Source organism: Homo sapiens, chromosome 2 (genome assembly GCF_000001405.40).
Source record: "Homo sapiens chromosome 2, GRCh38.p14 Primary Assembly".
NCBI lineage: Eukaryota > Metazoa > Chordata > Mammalia > Primates > Hominidae > Homo > Homo sapiens.
In genome coordinates, this window is record NC_000002.12 from 140699116 (window position 1) to 140711453 (window position 12338).

The window sequence follows — 12338 nt, forward strand, 5'->3', positions numbered from 1 at the left end:
TAGAAAATATCCACCACACATACAGGCTTGGATAGCTATAGTTTAGTTATTCAAATCTAAATTTTTATTAAAAAACGATTAAATAAACTAGCTTACCTTTAGTATAGAACTAGGTAGAGGCTTTCAAAAGTGTAAGATGAAGCCTCATGTAATAAAATAAAAGCTTTGCAATACACAGTAAATGAAAAAAGCAGTTAGCTGAATAATATATTTAGTATCATTCCACTTTTATAATTAAAAATTACACACACATACTTAAAATTCTAGGGCATGTCACATGTTAGTTATGGGTAAGTAAATAGGACTGATGGTTGCAGAGATGAGTCAGGGATTTCATATTCAAATCCATATTATTTGAACACTCTACAACAAATTTATATATTATTTTGCAATTTAGAAAGCAAAGAAAAAATTGATTTCCACATAGTGAAACTGGAAGAATGGGAAATATATGGAAATCACACAAAGACATCAAGAAGAGAGAAGTTGTGTGAAGAATAAGAAGATGGTTTTTGTTAAACTTGAATGACAGGAAAAAGGTTTCCCTAAATTATGTGGATAATCCTCACTGAACACTATGCTTGAATAATTATGTCCCATAAAAACATTAAAAATATTAGATCATTTCCATAACATTTTCTCATCTGCTACATATACATGATATATCATATATAATATATATTATATATATATTTTATATATATACACATATATACAGAAAAAAAATCTCTGATGTTTGCTTGAGAAACTATGATTAACTATTACTGAACAGATATTCTTAAATATACAATTTGCCCACTGGAAAAAAAAAATCAATTAGAATAGTTTTACACTGAAAAATGATTTTTCATGAATTTTAGTGCAGTTATTTATAAGAAACATTATGATAAAACATATTAAACCTTCCATGATTAGAAGGTAATAATCATAATTTGCTGTACATGCTAGCAATTAATTGCTTCTTTGACATTTGGCGGGGGGGTGGGGGGTGAGGGTTAGATGATATAGTCACATTCATTCCTGAATATAAAATCTAGGAAAATGTAATTGCTACATGCAATTACCACTATTATTTCTCTAGTAATCTAAATGATACTCATTTCCACCTATTTAAAATTGAATTACTGTACTTACTTTCAACAATTACTTGTCTGTCTTCCCAGTTGTCTTTAATAAGCTGTATATTTCCAAAGTGTGCATCACTGTAAAAGATTCGGTTGGTACCTTTTCTTCTTTGATTATAGTCAAAAGCCAAGGCTATGACATTCTTGAAATAACGTGGATTCTCATATGGCCTTATTGGGGAATTTAAATTGGTTTCATCAGAAAGATGTATACTTTTTAATATTGTTCTTCCTGAATACAGTAAATAGCCTTCATGCCTCAGGCAAGTAACTCCATCTTCTGCCAAATATCCATGGGCACAAGCACAAGTTCTCCGGGAATTTCCTCGATAAAGACAGAGTTGCTTACAGCCACCATTGTCCCTGGCACAAACATTGGTCCCTAATGAAGAAAAATGATACACACATGCACATGTTTATGTTTTTCTTTTGTTTTTGAAACAAAATTCTCCATAAAGAAATATTAAAACTTTGATGTTGAATATTCTCTTTTTGCTCTTAATTTTAAGCTGGTCAATAAAAAATTAAAAAAGTATTGTTTTTTAAAAAATCACAGCAGTTTAAATCTTGGGTTTCTTTATTTGGAAAATCATAGTCTGTTTCATTCACCATCCAAGTTAAGCATTAAATTTTTCCCTTAATGAACCAGTTAAGTATATAAATCTTTTTTGAAACTTGATACTTATAGTGTTTCATATATTGTTCATTTAAAACATGAATTGATCTCACCAGAAATAATGCACTGCTTTAAACTCTATCTTTGAGATATGGAAAGCATCAAAGAAATCTATAGCTACAATGTGCCTAACCTCCTAAATATGCTGAGCATAAGTTCTTACTCCAATTTTAAGTGAAGATAAAAAATGCACTTAAAATTTCTTCACCAGTCTAATTCTCCTTTGTGAATTCATTATTATTATCTCCAACATTATTATAACTTCCTTTGATACAAAAAAGTTAGTTACAATTTATTTTAATGGAGGTAAACAAATTTTAAATACCCAAATCATTGTCCTGTAAGTTTAGAATAAATATTTTAAGGAAGTAATGACTTTGGAAATATTTTACATTAACAGCATCACCTTTGGGATCATAACCACTTATTATATAATATGATTCATATTATGTATAAAAATTTCAACTGCCTTTTATTAATATCCTACTTATGCTTTTAATTTTTTATCCAATCAATACATGTTTCAAGTTTTTCTATATTCCTTAGCCAAAACCTATAATCAAGACATGCCAGGTATGTAACATGTCCATGTACCTGTGCTGTCCTGGGCAAATACGCTTTTGTATGAAATATGACATATTTATTGTATTAGGCTACTATATGATACTTGCAGGAAATTAGATGTAAAGATAATGTTTTGAGGTTTTAGACTTATAGAAGAATTTCTAAGTTTGACAATGTTTTTAAAAATTGGAGAGAAATCACATAAAATATACATATTATGTATTCTTTCAAGAGTGCTGACCTTTCTCTCTTACTCGGTTAAATATTTTAACCTCCTTCAGGTTGACTCCAAGGCCGGTTCTCATGGTTATCGTTTCTGTGGCATCATTCTTGTGGCCCCTTCTGACAGACCCGTTTGCATGTGCTCTGCCAAAAAGTTGAACATACATGATCAACAATCTTCGACTAATTAAAGTCAAGCCAGTTACTTAAGCTGAAGATAACAGATGGACCAACAGAAGGGAAAGAAACCAACTTTAGTCTGTGACATTGAAATGCTTCAGCTTGGAATAGCAAGAGTACCTGCCTTTTCTGTGGAAATTACTGGCTTTGTGAGTTCCTTTTTGTGACCTTGCTAAGAAATGGTAAATCCTACAAGGGTAAAGCAACTGGCACTGAAATAACATTTTGAGACTCAAATACTTATGAAAAAATAAATTACCTGTCAGACCAGTAGATGTAAGCCCCAAAGACTGCAACTGAAAACATATCCACATTGCTTCCTGACAGCACCATCTCGCGATTCCCTCCAGTCTCAAGGTCGATTCTCTCTATCTTGTCTGTGCGAGCATCACACCAGTACAATTTATTTTCCTAAATATCGATTAAGAAGTAACGTTACAGACTATATTTGATTGTTTTATTAAGAAAATAAAGGAACACTAAAAGTAGGTAAATTAAAGTTGTCAGTTAAGGCACTTTAAATACTGAAAAGAAATCCAACAGACCTCATAGTCGATGGAGATGCCATTCGGCCATGCTATTCCCATGCTTACAAGGACAACCTTCTCTGAGCCATCCAAGCGAGCCTTTCCAATACAGGGCATTTGTCCCCATTCAGTCCAGAACAAGAGGCTGAAATTAAATTGTTAATTTGTAGTGTTTATGTACATTTATTTGTAGTATGCAGAGCTATGCAAAAAGACATTACTAATAACAGCAGTAGCATTCACACTAGAATAAAAATAATACATTTCGGAAGTTAATATACAGTGTGCTTATGGTTCCGATAAAATAATTTTTATCGTAAAAAAATAGTTAACCAGTCATACAAATCATAGGATGCACTCAACATCCTACCAAAATACCTTTTGTGCCTGCTATTTCCTGTCTCAAATGCTCTTCTCCAATCTGTTTGCCTAATTACTTCCTACTTTTCATATCTCAACTATTTCTTTCCAGAAGCCTTCTGTGTCTTCCCTGTACCATGTGCTCTGCTTCACAACACAGATTAGAATGGCAAATTTCCACTTGTATTTCCTTACATTATCATTTATTATAAATATTTTTTGCCCCCACTAGACTGTAAGCTCAACAAGGACAGTGATCACTCCTCTATTTTCATTCACTATTACTCCTTTAGCACCAGGTAATTAGAAATTTTGTGGTAAATACATATTTAATTTATGAATATAGACATGAATGCATCATAACTTTCTATTTTTTCTACTTAGACTGCTAAATGTAACTAATCTAGTTTGAATTTTATGTTATCTTGTGAAGTCATCTTAAAATACGGTTTTATGCAAAAGCAGAAATTCTTATTTTAGTAATCTTATAAAACAAAATGTAATGGGGGACTATGTGAAAGAAAATGTCATGCAGAAAGAACACATATAGTATGCCAAAATAAAACAACATGTCATAAAATAAAATGTAGAAAAACAGAATGTACATAATCCATGTATTTCACTCATTCATTCAAAAAATTCGATATTCATAGGACTATACAGAAATCCATGCTTTTAGATAAATATAATTCCTTCTTAATTCTTAATTTGAAGTTACATCTACTGAAGTTTTTATCCAACTATCAGACATCAGCAGTGAATAAAGTTTTAAAAAATATGGGAAGCATTGATTCAACAGCTGGGTGTATAGTTCCTAATTTTTAAAAATTATTGTATCTTTTTCTAGTTCTTAGAAGTTATATGGCACCTAAATAGTCAACATAGTACCTAATGGGTAGTTCCCCCAATCCCCAAGTAGTCCACAGTGTCTCTTGTTCCCATGTTCATGTTCATGTGTGCTCAATGCTTAGCTCCCACTTATAAGTGAGAACACTCAGTGCTTGCTTTTCTGTTCCTGCATCAATTCATTTAGGTTTATGGCCTCCAGCTCCAGCCATGTTGCTGCAAAAGGGCTGTTTTCATTGCTTCAAAGTATTCCACAGTATAGATGTACATTTTCTTTTTGCAGTCTACTATTGACGGGCACCTAGGTTTATGTTACGTTTTTGCAATTGTGAAAAGCAGGGTGATGGACATATGAGTGCATGTGTCTTTTTGGTATAATGATGCATTTTCCTTTGGGTATATGCCCAGTAATGGGATTATTTGAATGGTAGCTCTGTTTTAAGTTCCTTGTAAAATCTCCAAACTGCTTTCCACAGTGGCTGAACTAATTTACATCCTCACCAACAGTGTTTAAGCATTCCCTTTTTCCTGCAGCCTCGTCAGGATATTTGAATAATATATGTGAATAGTCACGTAAGAATCAGTGAGACTGCATACAGAAAAATTAAAGACTTATATTTTGTTTATACTCACTGGAGTTATTTAAGTACAAAGTGATACTTAACTAGATAAAAATATATGTATTATTTATGTATATTAATTTGTTTTAATAGTTGATATTTTTCTTGAAAATGCTGTGTAAAATAAACATTGTAGAGTTTTACAGACAAACAAAAATGAGGTATGGCTACAATCTCAATTATATTAATCCTGAAGAAAATTTCATTCATATTTACAAGCTTTATAAATCAGAAAGGAAAAACTTTGTAGCATAAAATCCAACTAATATTTTATTGGTAAGATATAATTGAAGCAGGCATTTAAAAATCTACACCTTTATTAACGTCAAGATTTTTAAGACTTTAAGGTACGCTGTCAGTGGATGAAAAATATTATTCAATATAAAATAACTAACTCGCAAATGAAATGTATTGCTACACTTAACTTTTTAAGGAAAAACATGTATTAAAATGGCAGGTAATGTTATACTGTGAAGGAGGCACTGTGAGACCAGGGCAGACATGTGCTTACCTGTCTAATCTGATTCTTATCATCTATTTTTAACATATTCCAAAGTTCACATAAGAAAAGAAATGTGCATATTAAAGATTTTAATTAATGTTAATCTACTTGCAAATGCACTAATAAAAATATTATTTTGAGTGAACAGATCAAATAAGCTATTTATAGGTTGGTACACAAATAAATGTGTTTATTGCTATTAAAAGTAATGGCAAAAAGCACAATTACTTTTGTAGCAACCAACCTACTTAGCCCTAATTCTCACAGCTATGGTAATTATGACTAGGAAGTAAATGATCCACAGTCCACATGGCCAATAAGAGGGCAAGCCAAGAACCACACTCAGGCTTTACTAATCCAGGCCTATATTGTCTTCCCTAGAATACACTGTCTCACCAAATAGAAAGATAACACAGAAATATATAATGATATTATATCAAATGTTATTTTTCCTTAGCTATAAGATGCGTAACAAAAAATCTCCATATTTAAAACCAAAAAACAGTCCTGGCACAGTGGCTTCACACCTGTAATACTAACACTTTGGGAGGCTGAGGCAGGCGTATCACTTGAGGTAAGGAGTTTGAGACAAGCCTGGCCAACATGGTGAAACCCCTTCTCTACTAAAAATACAAAAATTAGCCTAGCATGGTGGCATGTGCCTGTAGTCCCAGCTACCTGGGAGGCTGAGGCAGGAGAATCACTGGAACCCGGGACACAGAGTCCGCAGTGAGCCAAGATCACACCATTGCACTCCAGCATGGGGAACAGAGTGAGACTGTCTCAAAAAAAAAAAAAAAAAAAAAAAAAAAAAAAAAAAAAAACACAGACACACACAGAAAACAAAATATGAAAAAGGTCTTAGCTCTGAGAAAGAAGTCACTCTCTTTTTTTCCAAGTAACCCCTATTCATTTTAAATTTGTGATACTTTCATGCAAGAGGCTGAGATAAATGTAAAAAAAAATGCATAAAATTATTCTAAGTAAAACTATTTTTTAATCCAGAATTTACACAATTCTTTTCCTGTGGAAAACAGTAGTGATTAGATATGGTATCATTATATGTGAAGCCAAATCTTTCTGTGTAGGACTCACTTTTAGAGTTAAATAATTTATCAACTGAATAAAAGTAAAAGGTTTTAATCCTATCAAAATTAAGTAAACATTTTATGTCAAGCAAATAATAATTTATTTGCTCCTTAAACTGAAATTGAAAGTAAAGAAATGAATGGAATTTGCACCTTGAGAAACTTTGGGGATTATAAACCAAATGTAGAGAAAGAACCCTCTCCAAGCTCGTAAAACTGCAGAAAGAGACTTGTAATTTAAGGTAATAACTTACATAGATGCACCTGAGATATCATTAATGAACATAGATTCTTGGCATCTAAATGTGGTCTTTAGCAATAGGAAGAAATGAAAATATTTGTCCCTGGTTTTTGACCAGTAGGTTCAGACCCTACTGATATTAACATTGACTGACAAAATTACTATTGAGTTTGAACCTATTTGAGTTCAAATTTTGCAGTTGTGAAAAACGTGTTCACTATATGATATAGCCAAGAAAAACTGATTTTAGAGTATCAGATGGGCACATGTAGCCCTACTAAAAATACTTTCTGAAATCTAGAAAATATTAAACTTGTCCAAATCAAATGCTATATTGTGTAACTGAATTTTATCTGAATAATAAAATAGTATTTGTTAAACTAAAAAATGTTCTTTATTTAAATAAGCTTGCACTTATAAATTTAAAAACATATAATTTTAAAAGGGACATTTAAAAGTGGCTTTCAGAATTATAGAAATTTTATCAGAAACTGTCATAATACAAATGTCTTTATTGTCTTAACTAGACTCTAACAGTTTTGAGCAGGAAGACAGTGCAATGAGCACATATCATGAGTTAATTTCCAACTGATTATTGACATTTGGATAAATAGGTAAAAAGATCACATTTGGTAGCACTGGAGCGCCCAAAGGCCTAGCAAACCCTTAATGGACCCTGAAAGTTAATTGTATTTGTCTTCTGACAACTGTACAGATTGACATCAGAATTAGTCTAGATACAGGTATACTTTTCAGGAAAAACTTTTTTTTTTCCTGTCACAGGCAGTTATACTCAACCTGAAAAAATACACATTCAAATTATTATAAATGCCCATGAATAAATTTGAGACAGCTAACATTAGTGACAAAGCTCTGATTTTTGTGTGAGAAGGGTAATGGAGTGAAAGAAAATAATAAATAAGTCTATTTTTTAAGAGAAACAGTATTAAATGTTATCCTTATACTCTACATATGTGAACAGTTGTGAAAAGCAAGACTAGTTGGCATTAATCATTTTCTCTGGATTTAAAATTCTCTTCTTTGATTGCTAAACTGTTTCCCTAGAGCTCGAATTTGAGTTGCAATTTTTACAATAAATGTGCCATTTCTTCCTACTTTTCTGGCTTCCCTAAGTGAGTATGATTTAGATCCTTTGTTACATATGATAAAGAAAACCTGAGATAACCAAAAAATGTTCATGCTGGCACAGAAATGAAGATCAGGTAATTCTCTTATGTCGGCAGTTGGCCTTGGTCAAGAAAAGAATCGAGAATGTCATTGTGTCGTCTCCTAGCGTGGGAGTCAACAGTGAGTTACCCTATCTGCAAAAAGTAAGAGAAACAAAAAAGAAAGCCAAATAAAAACCCTACAGATGAACAATAGTAGCTAGCCTTTACATGAGCATAAGCTTTTAACTTGACAAAAGCTGCTTGTAATTTCCAATTTCTTAGCAGATGCACTAGAATCACTCAAAATTCATACAAACTGAATACTCTATAAGTCAACATGTCCATGGCTACATCTTCAGATCATAAGTAAAATAAGATAATATTATAAAAGTTTGAATATATTTTATGAGTACATGATTGGACATTTTTTATCTCCTGAGGAATAAAATGAAATGTAGAGCGTTCTCTTTTTCTGTGAGGCCTTATTCACATTTTCTTTTTCTTCATTTACGTACAGTTTTGTCTGAGAAAGTATTACAGGCCTATCCCAAATCATTTTTCAAGTCTTAAATATGTTGCTATTGATTAAAGAATTCTGTAATATAAAAAGCACTCAACCACAGGTAGCAGAACCCTGTGCTAAAAGGATGAAAATATAAAACCAGTCTACCCTTGGACACTACTGCACTTTTCAAATTTTTTGTTGTTATTGTTGGTTTTGTGGTTGGTTCTCAAACTTATTCTTGCACTGTACTCATGCACTCATCAACAAATACTTCATTAGGTATCTATTATGTGCTAGGAGCTGATGATACAAAATAAATCGGATTTAGGTACCCTCATAAAGTCCATTGTTAATGGCAGAGGCAAATGGGTAAATTAGTATCTGAGAAAAATGCTGATTAGAAATACTTAAAATTTGCTAGTCTCTTTAAGTCATAAATGTAGGGGCTTGAACAATGATAATGTTGAAGGGTTGTGGTGAGAAAAGTTGTCTTTCCTGTAAACAACTTCAGAATTTTTTTTTTCTTTTAGGCAAAAATAAAGATATAGGCCATTTGAGTTGTTCTTTCTGTTTAAGCTTCAAAATTATTTAACTTATTTGTCAATTTCTTTCTTTCTTGGTCTGCTATTCTTAAGTTTACATTTGAGCCTTTCTTGATTCACTACATTGTAGTTTTGAGTAATTATATAGGACAATTATTATGTGTATGAAGAGCACACACTGGAGAAGCGGAAATTATTCACAAACAAAAAATATTTATATATATGTATATATATATACACACATATATAATATTTCATAGCACATTAAAAATATTACACCATGTTATAGTTCATTTTTCATTTTATATATGTGTTTACACCCTGCCTCATTGCCCATCCTCTCACTTAAACAAACACTTAACATATACATGTACATATATATAATATTAGCTTGTTTGCATTTATAATTTTCTTGAATAGTCCATGTTTATGTACTTTTGTACATTCAATATATATTTGATATTTTCCTATAACTATGAATTTACCAAATATTTAACATCTAGCTGCCCAGAGCCTATACTTCTAGAGCTCATGAGCTGACTTAGAATTATCAAAATATTATAAAGAAGTTTTTAATTTGTTCCATGACTTGCAACCTATCTTACCAGCATTATTCCTATGGTAAATCAAATTTATTCCATTTCCTTTATATATGTGTTCCCTTGCTTTAAGATGCAAAATATACTCTAAGAGATGGTATTAAACTACACTACACTGTTGTTGTCTTAACAGGTGTTAAACTGTCAACCAAGACCTTTTATATATTGTTGAGCATACTGAAAAAGTATATACATAATCAAAAAGACCTTTTGAAACAGCAAGATCCCATGTTAATTTGAGTCTTTGCCATGGAAAGAAAAACTTTTCAGCACATTATTTACAGTCACAGAAATACAGAGCTAAATTAAGAGAGAAAACATGTATCCTGGTGCTTAAAAGGAAATAAAATTACAGTATGTGTTTCAGTTAGAGATTATATACCATGGGAAGTTAATCAAAATTTTTAACATCTTAATGGGGCTTCCTATACATCTTTTCATTGTTAGTATTAAATGACTTTTCAGCATGGAGAAAATTATTACATTTCAATTTTCACAAAGCAAGTAATACCAGAGGAGGAGCAGGAGCAGGAGGAGGCGGAAGAGGAGGAGGGGGAGGAGGAGCAGGAGGAAGAAGAAGAAGAAGAAGAGGAAGAGGAAGAGGAGGAGGAGGAGGAGGAACAAGAGGAGGAGGAGGAGTCAATGATAGCTGAAAGAAACTGATTTTTTAAGCTAAACTAAACTCATACATGATTCCTATTTTGTATTTGGCTACATTTTAAAAGAGCTCAAGTCTCTATTGTTTAAAAACAGGATTTGTGCCCACTTTTCAAGGCATGTTTTTACTTTGAATTCAGCTAATTCACTCCATTATGGTTCACATTTTCCCTTGGCAATACCATCTGCCATGTTTTAACTTCAAACAGAATATTAAAGTACTGTACTTTATTCCTATGATATAAATTTTGACACTTAAATGTCTATATAATATTAGCTGGAAATCAGTGTTTGAATAATTTTACAAGAATCTTCATTTTTAAGTCTTTTATTTTCTCTCTAAATTCAAGTCAATAAATATATGGAGAAAGTGTAGGGAGACATACATCTCTAATATTTCCAAGCCGTAATAAATATTTCCTAGAAACAAGTTTAACATTTAAATGAGTGTATCTACTCTTAACTATGAATATGGAAAAAGTTTATCCGTGTGACATAATATTTTTAAAATGCTTTTAAGACGAAGTAAATAATATTTAAATATTGCTACATATGTCAAAGATTTCTTGTTTTGTGGACTCACATACAATTCTCATTTTGAGAGCTCAAAATTAAGAAATCAAAAATATTTACTGAGATCCTCCTGCTGAGTCAGTGCTGAGCTGGTAGTTGCAATGGAGAGAAATAAAAAAAATCTGACAAACATCTGGAGCAAAGAAATGAGGAGACTTGTTGACAGATGGAAATAGGTGATGAAAAAATACTGGAAAATCTAAAGTTTCAACCTCTTTTGTGACAACAGGAAAAGAGATATCATATTTAAGAAAGGAAGGCAACAGATGAGAGGTAGGAGGACATGTTAAGTTTCAGTGACAGACATCCAAATAAATAACTGTAAAGGATATCAGAAATATAAATAAAGGGGTGAAGATATTTTATTACTATTTTGCATATATTTATTATATTTTTATATTTCACTATATATGCATGATTTACATTTTAAAAACATGGGATTAGATGGGTTTAAAAGATAAATATAATAAGAGAGAGAATGGCACACAAAGTCTTAAATGAGAATAAAGAGAATAAAATATAATGCTCACAGGAGCTATATAGAGTAGCCTCAGAGAGAACCAGAAAATGCAGGGTCAGAGAAGGCTAAAGAAAAAAAGGAATTCTTGGATGGACTATCAGTGGAGAAAACTGTCCTGGAGAAGGCAAATGGTATAAAACCTGCAAAAATAATAATAATCATCTCTGGATGTAGCGGCAAATAAATTTAGAAACTCCTGTGTAACAACAGAAGCTGAAACCCATTTTAGGAGTTCAATGATGAGACAATGGATATAGATCATGATTCTGAGAAGTTGAGAAGAAAACATGTGGAAAGTAATGACATTAGTAATGTGTTATCTAATGAGAGTGACCTGAGCCTATCTGAAAGCAAAAGGGAAAGGCTTCATTGAAAGGAACAAATTAAGGTTGGTAAAATAGAAGAGAATGATTTTTGCATGAAATGTCTGAGGAGACATTTATATCCAGAATAAAAGTAGAGAAGTCGTTTTAAGGAAGAAGGAAACCTTTTTCTGAGGTTATACTCACTTAAACATTTACAGCATTAATTCACATATTCTCTTTTCCTTGACTGCATTATCACCTGTCACAATTACACACCATTTATTTATTGCTTTACCACTGGCTGGCAGATTTTTCATCTTCTCCTTCCACTGCTGACATTCTATGGAATTTAATGACATAGAAACACCCAAGCTCATAGTACCTCATCTTTATTGCTCCAGGGACCTACCTAGAATCACCCTCTCTTAATTCATAGAGCTGTGTTGGTCACTCATACCAGCTGGACCTTATCTCTCTACTCTTACCCTGGTCTACTCTTGACTTCCCACTATTCCATC

The 12338-nt window shown here is 32.1% G+C and overlaps 1 protein-coding gene across 4 annotated transcripts in view; it reads right to left on the bottom strand.

Annotated features, from left to right (window-relative positions):
* Window positions 1-12338, bottom strand: part of LRP1B (LDL receptor related protein 1B) — a 1899594-nt gene that overhangs the window by 467693 nt on the left and 1419563 nt on the right. For all 4 annotated transcript variants that reach the window (NM_018557.3, XM_017004341.2, XM_017004342.1 and 1 more), the window contains 4 exons: window positions 3312-3438; window positions 3026-3177; window positions 2606-2730; window positions 1135-1506 (listed from right to left, as the gene is read on the bottom strand). In NM_018557.3, coding sequence (NP_061027.2) covers window positions 1135-1506; window positions 2606-2730; window positions 3026-3177; window positions 3312-3438 — 776 coding nt within the window. The remainder of the gene's footprint in view (window positions 1-1134; window positions 1507-2605; window positions 2731-3025; window positions 3178-3311; window positions 3439-12338) is intronic.